Source organism: Homo sapiens, chromosome 20 (genome assembly GCF_000001405.40).
Source record: "Homo sapiens chromosome 20, GRCh38.p14 Primary Assembly".
In the NCBI taxonomy this organism is placed as follows: Eukaryota; Metazoa; Chordata; class Mammalia; order Primates; family Hominidae; genus Homo; species Homo sapiens.
Window position 1 is genome coordinate 14,075,682 of NC_000020.11, and position 14,046 is coordinate 14,089,727.

General features: G+C 37.6%; 1 protein-coding gene across 3 annotated transcripts in view; it reads left to right on the plus strand.

The window, feature by feature from the left end:
- MACROD2 (mono-ADP ribosylhydrolase 2) overlaps window positions 1–14,046 on the plus strand; it is a 2,057,682-nt gene that overhangs the window by 80,166 nt on the left and 1,963,470 nt on the right. For all 3 annotated transcript variants that reach the window (NM_001351661.2, NM_001351663.2, NM_080676.6), the window contains exon 3: window positions 9,940–10,047. In NM_001351661.2, the coding sequence (NP_001338590.1) occupies window positions 9,940–10,047 (108 nt within the window). The remainder of the gene's footprint in view (window positions 1–9,939; window positions 10,048–14,046) is intronic.

Genomic DNA, 14,046 nt, shown 5'->3' on the forward strand with positions numbered 1-14,046 from the left:
TTCTGTCCATATCTGCCAGACTTTTTCTTCCCTACTTCAGCTTCTCAGCTCCCTATAGGCACTTGAACTTTAAGCACACTGTCCCTCGTTGAAGGTTTTCAAGGGTCTCAAGGATCCCCAAAAGCAACCACCTGAGGCTATAAAGGAAAAAACACTAATTGGAAACACTGAATATTTTATCCAGTCAGATGGGCTTTGGAGACATCCTTAAAGCTGTTCGATGTCACCTCAGTTACTGCCTAAAATTTGGTCCACAGCCTCCATAAGATTACATGGGAAAATCTTAAAAATCTTCTCTATAAATATTATTAAAAAACATTAACTCTCATATAGAACAGGTAACCTAATTTGTTCCATTTATCAAGAATACAATTTTGACAAAAATGTAGACCAAAGATAAAACTATATTACTTTGTTTACTTGATTAATTGCTAAAGTTTTAGAATAAAAGCTGTAAGATCTGTTTGCGGCTATCTGCGTATTTGTTTGTATATGTTTATGTATGTATGTTATATATATGTGATATTTTTCTACCTAAGGATAGTATTACCAGCATAATTCATAAAATCTCATAAGGAAGCACTATTCAAATTATCTTAGAGATTAATGAACTCTTATATAAGTTAAATATTCCAAAAACTCCCAGAAATGTGGAAACTAACCCAAATGTGTTTTAAAGTTCATACGGGCTGGATGTGGTAGATCACACCTGTAATCCCAGCACTTTGGGAGGCCAAGGCGGGAGGATCACTTGAACTCAGGAGTTCAAAATCAGTCTGGGCAACATGGTGAAACCCATCTCTACCAAAAAAAAAACCCCAAACGCACACACATAAAAAATACAAAAATTAGCCTGGCTTGGTAGTGCATGTCTGTAGTCCCAGCTACTCAGGAAGCTGAGGTGGGAGGAACGCTTGAGCCCGGGAGTTGGAGGTTGCAGTGAGCTGAGATTTCACCACTGCACTCCAGCTTGGGTGACAGAGCGAGACCTTGCCCCCTCACCTTCCACCCCCCAAAGAAGTACATATAACTTTGCTAAGTCTTCAATAAATAAGATTAATATTATTGGTTTAATAAAAATGGGTTTGTCTTAATGACTTGTCAGCGTTAAGTATAATGTGGGCATGTTTTTATTCTACTTAGGTTTGCTGATCAGATAAACTTATGTCTACTAGATATTTAAGATTATAAAAATTATAAATTTCACCTAAGAACCACTGTACAAGTAAACATGCACTAACATTGAATTGCTTTATAGCCATGACTTCTTGTATATCAAGCATAGCAGTAAAACAAAAATCCATGTGTTTAACTTTTTTAGGTTTTTGCTTTTATAATACTTTCCTAATAAATGCATATGTTGTAGAAATCGTTAACAGGGAAATAACTTGAGATGTTGGCTAGCTTTGTTTAATGTTATAGTATGTCTGCCTGGAAATTGTTTTTAAAATCTTTTTAGTAATTTGCAACCTTAGACTTACATTACATTACATTAATAGATATTCATTAAAATCTACATAATTTCTAAGAAATATAAATGACTGAAATACTAATGCTAAACCTAAGTTTGAGTTTATATACTTTGGCTTTTTATTTTCATATGACATAAAGAAACTAGATATAATTGGGCCTGTTAATAAAATGTTCTTCTGAAAGATTACACTATAAAGAAACAAATATCTCTAGGAATTGTAAGATGATATACTCATAAAACCTGCTAGTTTGCTATAGAATGCTAGTATGTGACACAGTTTACAGCTGTCTCCTTAAGTTTTCTTTGTAAAAGTGTATTGGTCGTTAAAATTACATTTAATACATGTAAGTTAAACTACTAAAAATAATAAGTGTGAGGAGAAACAACTCTGTATGCAAAGTATGTGAGGAATGAAGGACTTTTTTTTACTGTTGATAAGGGAAAAAGAGTGTAATTTTGTCTTAAAATAAGATTACTGGTTATTCCAGAATGAGAAAGAGGAAAAATGTAGGACGAAATCTGAATGGATATGGAAAACTGTAGGTTTGCAGAAAAGGAATTCTTTATGTTTTCAAGCTGGCTATGATTAAATTGATTTCTATATAAAGTTTTTTTTTAAATAACATCAGCCCAACAGTGTGCTAATATAAAACTAGAACTTGGTTTTATTTCTGTTAAAGCAACAAAGTTTTCTTGGAATATTGGTCTGTTCTTAGTAAGAGACTGTGAAAGGTTTTTCTTTTTTTTTTTTTTTTTTCTTTTTTGAGACGGAGTTTCACTCCTGTTTCCCAGGCTAGAGTGCAATGGTGCGATCTCGGCTCACTGCAACCTCTGCCTCCTGGGTTCAAGCGATTCTCCTGCCTCAGCCTCCCGAGTAGCTGGGATTACAGACATGTGCCACCACGCCTGGCTAATTTTGTATTTTTAGTATAGACGGGGTTTCTCCATGTTGGTCAGGCTGATCTCGAACTTCCGAACTCAGGTGATCCGCCTGCCTCGGCCTCCCAAAGTGCTGGGATTACAGGCGTGAGCCATCGTGCCCGGCCGCCTCTTTACCTTTTAAGTAATCTGCCTAGGGAACAAAAATTCTGTGCCTTATCAAAATAATTTATTGTGCTTTGTGTTTTCTATGTCATCTCCTTTTAAGAGAACTTAACTATTGTTTCATAGTTATCGAGGATCCTGTTTAATCAGCATTCAAATCTTTTGACATTTTTGAGTTTTCCAAAATCAAATTCTAAATGAATTCTTTTTTTGTTTGTTTGTTTGAGATGAAGTCTCGCTCTTATCCCCCAGGCTGGAGTACAATGGCGCGATCTCGGCTCACTGCAACCTCCACCTCCCAGGTTCAAGCGATTCTCCTGCCTCAGCCTCCCGAGTACCTGGGATTACAGGCGCCTACCACCACGCCTGGCTAATTTTGGAATTTTTAGTAGAGAAGGGGGTTTCACCATGTTGACCAGGCCGGTCTCGAACTCCTGACGTCAGGTGATCCGCCCACCTTGGCCTCCCAAAGTGCTGGGATTACAGGCGTGAGCCACCGTGCCCAGCCCTAAATGAAGTATTAATCTTGGACTGACCTTGAGATTTCCCATAGGTCCCCTGGAAAATGTCAAAGGATTTTTTCTTTCACCTAGTAAAAATTTTGTTTGTTTGATATATTAAATTATGTGGGAAACATTGTCAAGTAAAAAGTGATGCTTAAGCTTTTCTAGGTTATATTTGTATGGGTAAATATTAATAATAAAACATTCCAGAAATTATGTGAATTTCATAGACATTTGCCAATACCCTCATTGTCCATCATATGTTCTGGTATATACTGTTATCATCATAATGCCAACTATTATTTAAATATTTAAATATTGTGTGTCACAAAAATAACCAAATTCCCTCACCAGTTTTATCATTTTTATAATGAACAGATGTTTAACCACAGACATTTTAAGTCTTTTATTATCCACAGATAGTTTTTCTTTTACTCTGATTCTTCCTGAAAGCTTCCATAATCAGCTTATAAGCCAGAATGCTTCATTTTCAACAAAACTGATTGTCTCAGAGACCTGTGGAAAGGACTATGCCAGGTACTCTGGGGTATAGCCTTCTAATGGCATTGCTTAGATACTTGTAGACCATACCATTGGAATGAGTATGGATTTCTGCAGCTAGTAGAGAAGCTGACGGGTTCATAAAACTGCTAACGCAGGATAAAGCAGAAGATTCAATTACATGGGGCCGAATAAACTAATAAATAAGATAATTTTTATGGTTATTGTTTTGGAATATTTATCATTCTTTAATGTCTTATTTAAGGAGACTTTTTTTCTGTTGTCTCATGCTTTCTATAACTCATGACAATTTAGTAGGTTATGCTTTTGTAAAAAGAGATGAAACATATTTTCTTCCAACCTGATCCCTCCAGAATTCAGAAACACTTACTGAGTATTCTTATTCTCAATGGCAATACAATTATTTGGATAAGTTCAATAAGATTCTGTCTTCCTTGTAACAGGGCATACTTGGAAAAATCAGTTTATAACCAAGGCTTTGACTGGAATGTCATATTTGAGAATGATGCATTGAATCAGATACGTCCAGACAGTTTTAAGGCACAAAGACTTTATGGAGTCAATGCTTACAAAGTCCTCTTGGGAAAACCGGCCTGGTACCTGGCTTATTGGGCAGGGGTTCCCAATCCCTAGGTCTCAGACTGGGCCATACAGCAAGAGTTGAGCAGCAGGTGAGCCAGCATCTTCCCTACCCCCAGTCTGTGGAAAAATTGTCATCCACAAAACTGGTCCGTTGAACCAAAGACTGCTGTTATAGGGTTCCCAGCCTTATAGGTGGGTAAGGAAGGTCACTTCCTGGCAGGTCCAGGAAGCTTAGGATATTTTGGGAACCTCACAAGAGAGGAATTCACCCAAATCTATAGTTCTTATAGGAAAAATATGGTAGTGCTTGGCTTGACTTTTAATCTTCAAGAGGCTTTTAGAAGCCTAATATGAAGGTCAGGCACGGTGGCTCACGCCTGTAATCCCAGCACTTTGGGAGGCCGAGGTGGGTGGATCACGAGGTCAGAAGATCAAGACCATCCTGGCTAATATGGTGAAACCCCATCTCTACTAAAAATACAAAAAATTAGCCGGGTGTGGTGGCAGGCGCCTGTAGTCCCAGCTACTCAGGAGGCTGAAGGAGGAGAATGGCATGAACCTGGGAGGCAGAACTTGCAGTGAGCCGAGATCGTGCCACTGCACTACAGCCTGGGCAACAGAGTGAAACCCCGTCTCAAAAAAAAAAAAAAAAAAAAAAATCTAATCTGAGATTCCTCATAAAAAATTCCAGTAAAACAAACTCAAAAAGGCCTAAGTGGTCATTTTTGCTGCAATTATGTAAATAACCAGGCCAAATCTAATGAGACCAGACTTATTTTGTAAACAAGAGTTAAAAAAGGAAGTGAGTGGAGAGAAAATTTATGCTTAAATGGAAAACTATAGTGTACCCTTGTGGGTTATTAAATTCTAGTCCTGTTCATTTTTTTTTTAGCTTTCCGTTGTCAACCTATAAACTGGACTGGATCCTGCCATCTTATGCATTTTCTCAATTATTCTAGTTTCCTCTGATAGCCTACTACAAGTTTCCAAACTAACATTTCTAATTTTTCCCCACCTTCCTCACTTGGCATCACTGAGAACTAAAACTATGCTTTTCCCAAAGCCCAGGAAGCTGAAGCTGTACCACTTGGTATAAGCTGAAGAAATCACCACACCTTTTCATGTATGGGTAACTTCATGAGAATCTCTTCTTTCCTTGAACAATAAGAGGGACTGACAAAGTCTGTCTTCTTAAGCAAACTTTAGGCAGGTTTCTCTAAGCCTTTTTCTTGTCTAGGCCCCATTCTTGCAATACCTGCGTAGCCCAGTTTCAGCAAGAATCTTGCTAAGTTAGTTAAGAGAAAATCTCTTACCCTTGATATCAGATCACTCTTGATACTTGGTCAAATTGCTCATCCCCCACCAGGCAATATGTGATCACCCTGACTTGCCTTCAGCAAGAATACTGTTCAGGCTCTATAACCAGAATCCCCCTATATTTCCTCTTAGTTATTTCCCATCCACTCACCTCCATCCTGCTCCTTGGCTATAAATCCCTGCTTGTTATTGCTGTATTTGGAAATGATCCCAGTTCTATACTGAGGTCTCTTTCCCTTTATTGTAATAGTTTCTGAATAAAATCTGTTTTTACTGCTTTAATCACTTCCAGTTCTGGTTTTCTTTGACATTATCAGAAATATATAATATGAAAGAGCAATTACTGTCATGTGTTTACACTGACAGATATTTCAGCTTGCAATTGTATAAAACCAGTGATGTACAAGCTGAGTTGGTGCTTTGTGTACATAGAGAATGTCCATGAGGGCGATATACTTGGCAACTTTTTGTCTTATTTATTACTGAAAACCTAGGGTATGGAAAAAGATACATTGAGATCTGTGTGTGAAAAGGAAGGCAAGGCATTGCTATGCAAATAAAAGAGGTGGCCTCTAAGTGGTAATTTATATTGTTGTATTTGCAAAGAATAGTTGGTGGTCAAAAATACTTCATTAGGTTTTGATTTACTGTTGAAGGAAATACTGCTAATTATTAGTCCTATCAAGCTGTAGCCTTTAAGTATGTACATATCTTTTTGGCATACTATGTGAGGAATTGGGCTGTAAGTATAATCTGACTGTTGAGGAAAAAAGAGCCTCATGTTAGTTTTTAAAATGAGAGACAATGAAAATATTCCCTCATAATGCTGATAACTTGAGTAAAGACCATTTTGAGTAACTTATTTGAGCAACATTGTCACAGCAGTATATTTATTCAATAAATATACTGAATTGCTTGAACCTCCACTTCAGTCTCAAAATATTCCATTTTAAAAATTTGCAGATGACAGATTAGAGTTTCTTTTGAAACAACTGAACGGTGGTATAAAAATGGTTTAAACTTCAATGTTTTCCCATACCTTTCTTTTTTTTTCTTTTTTTTTTTTTTTTTTTGAGATGTAGTCTCCATCTGTCGCCCAGGCTGGAGTGCAGTGGCATGATCTCAGCTCACTGCAACCTCCACCTCCCAGGTTCCAGTGATTCTCCTGCCTCAGCCTCCCAAGTAGCTAGGACTACAGGTGCGTGCCACCATGCCCTGCTAATTTTTTGTATTTTTTTTTTTTTTTTTTTAGTAGAGACGGAGTTTCACCATGTTAGCCAGGATGGTCTTGATCTCCTGACCTCATGATCCACCCGCCTCAGCCTCCCAAAGTGTTGGGATTACAGGCGTGAGCCACCGCGCCTGGCCCTCCCATACCTTTCTTTTATAATTTCTTTGCTTTTGAGAAAGAAACACATGACTTATTGTCTCATATGTTTAAAAATTCTATCACTGCAAATGTGAGTTACTTACATAATGCTTCATGAGAAAATGAAATAATACTTCTTAGAGCTAAAAGCAGTTAAAGAATGATTAGAAAATCTATTTACTCTGTTTCCCATGTTGAAATGGTCTTTCTGCATTCGTGATAAGTCTGTCAATTTAATGCCTGATAGAGTTCTGAAACATCTTCAGTGATGAATCTTTGTAATTTCTAGGTTCACAATAGTCTAAATATCCATTTGTCTCTGACAAAGCCACCAAATGTTTATTGTCATTTAACAATCGTTAATGGAGAATCAAGAGTTTATAATTTGGTTAATCACAATAGAAACTAGTTGGATGTGGAACTCAAGGACTTGTGGCTCAGAGTCCTTGTCATTGGGTCAGGTGTTGACAATTTGATAACAGCACAAACAAAATATAGTCTCTTTCACTGATAAGCAATAGTAATAAATATGATATTTTATTTAAAATAAAATATTTTGAAAAAGTATCTTAGTATTGTGGTCCATGAATGCTGAATATGGATGCTGAAATAATATTTGTCACCTTTGTAAAAAAAAAAAAAAAAAAAGGTAGTTTTGGCCAGGTGTGGTGGCTCGCGCTTGTAATCCCAGCACTTTGGGAGGCTGAGGTGGGTGGATCACCTGAGGTCAGGAGTTCAAGACCAGCCTGGCCAACATGGTGAAACCCCCTCTCTCCTAAAAATAGCTGGGCGTGGTGGTGGGTGCCTGTAATCCCAGCTACTTGGGAGGCTGAGGCATGAGAATCGCTTGAACCTGGGAGATGGAGGTTGCAGTAAGCTGAGACTGTGCCATTGCACCCCAGCCTGGGCAACAAGAATGAAACTCTGTCTCAAAAAAAAAAAAAATGATTGTGTTTGTTGATCACTTACTATGAGGCAAACATTCTAAGTGTAATGAACTCACTTACAGTGGTTTACAAACTGATGCATGGAGAGAATAATTTATCCAGACTCACCCAGCTGTTAACTGGCAGAATTAGGATTTTAACAGAGTCAGTCTGGTAGGAAAGTCTGCTCTTTCCCACTATCTGGCAGAGATAAATAGTACTGTAGGAGTCCCTGAGAGGTCAACTCAAGTGTAAGTATTTTATATTTTGAGGTTCCTAAAGTTTTTCTCTATGTCATTAACATACAAGTTGCCCACATTATTCTCCTTGTCATTATTACTACAACCAGTGAGTATTTTGATAGAATACTTCTGGGAGAGGCCCAGGCGCGGTGGCTCACGCTTGTAATCCCAGCACTTTGGGAGGCCGAGGCGGGCAGATCTTGAGGTCAGGAGATGGAGACCAACCCCGTCTCTACTAAAAATACAAAAAACTAGCCGGGCCTGGTGGCGGGCGGCTGTAGTCTCAGCTATTCGGAGAGGCTGAGGCAGGAGAATGGTGTGAATCCGGGAGGCGGAGCTTGCAGTGAGCCGAGATCGCGCCACTGCACTCCAGCCTGGGCGTCAGAGCGAGACTCCGTCTCAAAAAAAAACAAAAAACAAACAAAAAAAAACCTTCCGGGAGAGAAGCGGTTACTAAGAAGGGAATGCTTTATAGACAGAGAAAGGATCATTTTTATGGTCATAGATTATTTTCTAGTCTTGGCCAAATTTTTTTTTTTGGGGAGGGTGTATTGTGGTCCAAAGACAATTTAGGTGACTCATAACCTATCACCTCTAATCCCCCAGGTGTCTCAAGATTGCATGCTCATGAGAGTATCTCAGTGAGTGAATAGCAGTGTCTCCTCTCATTAAAAATTTATGCATATCATAAATACTTTTAAAAATGAGAGTGTCTCAGTGAATGAATAACAGTATCTCCTTGTATGAAAGATTTACACATATCATACTTTAAAAAGTTTGAGTTTAATATAAATTCAAAAATATAAATCAGCTTTCCTGTAAGTATATTAAAAACCTTTTTATGAATAGCAATTCAAAATATTTTAAAACATTTATTTTGCACAGCTTTTACTAGATTTATCTTATTGCTATTTTGTTCAAAATAAATGGAAACTCAAGTTTATAGTCTTGCTCTAAATCATTTTTTAAAATATCAGATTTCAGAAAGTAACGTTTTTGGCTTATTTTAGATATACCTGCTTGCTGGCTGTTGTGTGTTGGGGTAGAGCTTTCTTTTTAAAATCTAGTAGCACCCTCTAGAGCAAAAGGTAAAATACAATTTGATAAGAAAGGAGCAGTTTCACAAATTCAAATTTCCTATCCGGAGTAATAGTTTGTTACTTAGAAGTACCAAAGAGCTGGCCAGGCATGGTGGCTCATACCTGTAATCCCAGCACTTTGGGAGGCCGAGGTGGGCAGATCACTTGAGGTCAGAAGTTCAAGACCATCCTGGCCAACACTGTGAAACCCTGTCTCTACTAAAAATACAAAAATTAGATGGGCATGGCATGGTGGCTCATGCCTGTAATTCCAGCTACTTGGTTGGGGGGTGGGGGGGTGGTGGGGGAGAGGTGGGCGGGGCTGAGGGCAGAGAATCTATTGAACCCGGAAGACAGGGGTTGCAGTGAGCCGAGATCACGCCACTGCAGCACTCCAGCCTGGGCGATAGAGTGAGATTCCCTCTCCAAAAAAAAAGGAAGTAGCAAAGAGCTGAACCTAATTTTTTTTTGCTCAAATATATATATATTCTTATCAAGGATGCCTTTTAGGTAAGTTCTTCTTACCTAAGATTAAAGATTAATACATCTTTTTCTTACCTCCTTGTGAATGTAATGGTACATAATTTTATTTTAGAATGGATATTTTAATAAAATTACCCATAAGTATTGAATTTCTTGTTGACCAATATAACATGCTAAAGTTTTATTGTATGTCCATTTTGTATGTGATAGTGTGTTTGTTTTGAGAATTACAAAATAGAGAATAAACCACACCCCTTGTACTTACGCTCTTATTTCCACTTGTTTTTTGTAGTAGAGCATGACACATATTGGGTCTTGTAGTAGTCTTGAGTAAAAAATTATCTCGATTAAGTTAATTAATAATATTATTATTGATATATATCCATTTTCTATTACAGAAGAAAATACTCAGGAAACATCCCAGGTGAAGAAAAGTTTGACTGAAAAAGTTTCTCTCTATAGAGGTGACATCACATTGCTAGAGGTAGATGCTATAGTCAATGCCGGTGAGTAGTTGATTTTCCTGTGATGTGTTTGTTATGTAAGTATTATTTCAAAATTTTTAAATAAATAAGAATGTAAGTATTTTAGAAAAAAATGCTTTTTGACGTAGAAATGTCTATTCTGTTTCTCTTCTTGATTAAAAACATTGGAGATCTATTTTTTTGTATGTTCTGCAATTAATGTGCATCTACAGTACCCTCTACAGTGAAAGGCGCTAGGTTGAGATTAGGATACTGCACCACTGGAGAAGTGACAGATTGTTGCAGAAAGTTCTTCAGAAAGAACTTTAGCAAGTATATTATTGTTACTTTCGTAGCTTGAATTAATAGTTGGCCAACATAAATACAAGCTCATCAAGCTTTTTTCTTCTTTTGAATAGGTTGTCAGGTGATGATTGAACTATGTAAGACAAAAGTGAAAATATAAAGAAATTATTTCAGTTATTTCAAAACTTAAGTTGTTAGGGTTCCAGTTTTCATTTTCATTATGAAATGCTTAATTTTAACCAGCATATTTTAATTATTTTTAATAATTAGTTGTCTAGTTAATTTTCCTATTTCAACATTGGGAAAAATTTTACAGATGTTATATTTTATTATGTGGCTATATATCAAAAAAGATATAACAGCCGTGATTCTACAAAAATATTGTAAATGAGAGGATATTTAATGATTTTAATTTGTGTTTTGTAAAGTTAGGCTGTTTGAAGTTTGCAAGTGTCAATTAAAAACAAATCTGGACTTAGGTAAGGAGAGGCTTTATCTAAATAGACTATGACAATAAAAGGAGGAGGATGATTTCAATAGGGGGAGGCAGAATATTGTGTTATCGGGAATGTTTTTCCAGAGTTCAGCTGGTTCTGGGGAAGGGCTGTTAAGGAGGGGTTACTCACCTTCCATTGCTTCAGGGTGGACCAAAGTTCAGGGGTTTTGAGGAAGGAGAGGAGCCTGACTAAAGTTTGGTCAGGTCGTTTGTGGGCATTGACCAACCAGAATGGTAAATGGGGACAAAGAGTTTGGCTAACATGTATGAGACAGAGAATGGGAATTTGGAAAGTCTGTTTCTGGCCTTGTCATTGGTTGCAAGGTGGTCATCTGTCAGTTTTATCTAGTAAACTTTCCCAGAACACAAAAGGGTAGGGGTAATTTCTTGACTGTGGCTCTTTCCAAGAATACAGAGTTCAGGTGAGTTTCAGTGTTATCTCCAGGTTTCCTTTGGTGATAATAAATTCACAGAGAATAGTAGGAAAGTGCATTGGCAGGTGAACAGAAGGGTCTAATGGAGAACTGAAACATTGTTCAAGGATATTGTACAGCTCTGGCAATTTAGCAGAAAGTTCAGAATACCGGTCAGCTTGTTGTTCCCTTAGAATTGGGTATCAGTTACAGCTGGGTGCGGTGGCTCATGCCTGTAAGCCCAGCACTTTGGGAGGTCGAATTGGGTAGATCACTTGAAGGTAGGAATTCGAGACCAGCCTGGCCAACATGGTGAATCTCATCTCTACCAAAAAAATACAAAAATTAGCCAGGTGTGATGGCGAGTGCCTGTAGTCCCAGCTACTCGGGAGGCTGAGGCAGGAGAATCGCTTGAACCTGGGAGGTGGAGGTTGCAGTGAGCAGAGATCATACCACTGCACTCCAGCCTGGGTGACAGAATTGAGACCATGTCTCAAAAAAAAAAAAAAGGATTGGATGTCAGTTGCTTTGTACCACAGCTGCTTTGCTGTAATCAAGGCTCAGTTTTCTCCTTTTCTTCTTCTGATGCTTCTGCACTTCCTTTCTCCTTTGCTGCTTCTGCTGCCTGTCTAAAATGTAAAAGTCTTCTTGAGAGAGGAGGCTGGGTCATTTAATTGCCACCCAATATGACTCACTCCTTCATCCTCAGGTTACCTCATAGGGTACAGGTCTCTCTTATATGTAGTATCTATGGATTGCTCATTTGTGGCCCTGGGTATCAAGATGCTTTCTCTGTCCCGTGGGGCCTCTGGGGGAAGACAGGCCCTTAGAAAGGGTCTCAGGAAGTCCTCTCCTGTAGTTTTAATAAGATATCACTATAGCTAGTAATTTAATGTATATGCCCTAAATTCTATAAATATATGAGCTTTAATTTTAAAACATTTAAAAGATTATATGTGTGTATATATGCATAAAAGATATATGTGTGTGTATATATACATAAGAGAGATATATATACACATATAATCTTTTATATATATACACACATATAAATAAAAGATATATATACACACATGTGATCTTTTATATATACACACATATGTATATGTATACACATGATCTTTTAAATTTTTAAAAATTAAAGCTCTGCTGGGCGCATTGGCTCATGCCTGTAATCCCAGCACTTTGGGAGGCCAAGGCTGATGGATCATGAGGTCAAGAGATTGAGACCATCTTGGCCAACATGGTGAAACCCCGTCTCTACCAAAAATTCAAAAATTAGCCAGGCGTGGTGGCGTGTGCCTGTAAGTCCCAGCTACTCGGGAGGCTGAGGCAGGAGAATTGCTTGAACCCGGGAGGCAGAGGTTGCAGTGAGTCGAGATCGTGCCACTGCACTCCAGCCTGGCGTCAGAGCGAGACTCCATCTAAAAAAAAAAAAAAAAAAAAGTTAAAGCTCATATGTTTATAGAATTTAGGGCATATACATCAATATATATAGACACATAAAAGATATATATTTATACTCACATATGATCTTTTAAATTTTTAAAAAATGTTTATATGTATGTACATATGTATATAAATACACTTATCAGCCTTCCTGTGTGTTCTTGTAATTTCTAGCCATTACTCTTAGTTCTGTCCTGAGGAAGTACAATTGATCATATCTACTTCCTTTTTAAATACTTGAAGATCACTCTCACAAGTTTTCTCCTTCTTGTTATTAAGATAACATTGAATTTGCCACGTTAGCACACACTTAATACAGTAATAATGGTCTTTGTTGGATTTTGCTGTCTTCCCATGGAAGCCACACACTAGTGCCATTTTCTCTTTTTGTGTCAACTCCCCAAGCAATGTCATCTCCTTCTTAAAAATATTTAATACTGTGTATTTGTTAAATTGAATTATTTAATATGTATGATTGAATTTGTAGATCTCTGACTAATAGGACATTCAGCATTGGAAACGACACAGTGAACCAGTTGGCTCTGGTGTTTTTTATCTGATCAATTAATACAAATATTTTGGGAGTAATTATTGAAATAAATGGTGCAAAACAGAAGAACATCATTAACTACCTCATCACTATTTTGTTCTTTTAAATATTATTATCTTGCTCTTGCCTAAATGTATAATTTTTCATAGCTGCTGCATAATATATAAGGGTATGATGAATTTATATGAAGACAGGCAGCAACTTTTGCTTACTCCCAAAACGATTTGGTAATTTTAGCTCACCTCTCTGGTTGTGATGATTGTAATTTGGCCATGTTTTGCATCTCACAAGGATAGTCTCATCAGGAAGATCCCAGGTAGATAGAAAAGGGATGCCAAGTGAATATACACTGTAATGGCTCTATTTACAGCTTTCTACTGTGCAGTTTGTTTGCCTGGTGTGGAAGGAGTGGAACAGCTGTTAACTTTTCAGGTGAACAAGACAACATGGCAGGAAACTATAGAGCTGCCTCTACTGAGAGGGGGAGTGAAAAACAGTACCCCTAGTCACTATGCCAAAGCAGCCCAGTTGTCACCTCCTATTAGACTTCTGAAGTTCTCATGACCATATTAGTACATTGGAACACCTGGTCTTAGTTGCTATGAATGAAATGATTTCATATTTTAAACTTATTTCTAATAAAGTGTTTTTTGAACTACCTTAACCTCTTTAAATGTGACCCAGGGTGGACTTCTTGTGTATTATATTCTTCTCTCTAGGAAATTATGCATATTTAGTATGTTTTAATAAAACAGATTTTGCAGGCATTATAGTACACAGGGCAGTAGCACAAGTTTAGAGTTAGGCAGACCTGGGTTCAAAATTCA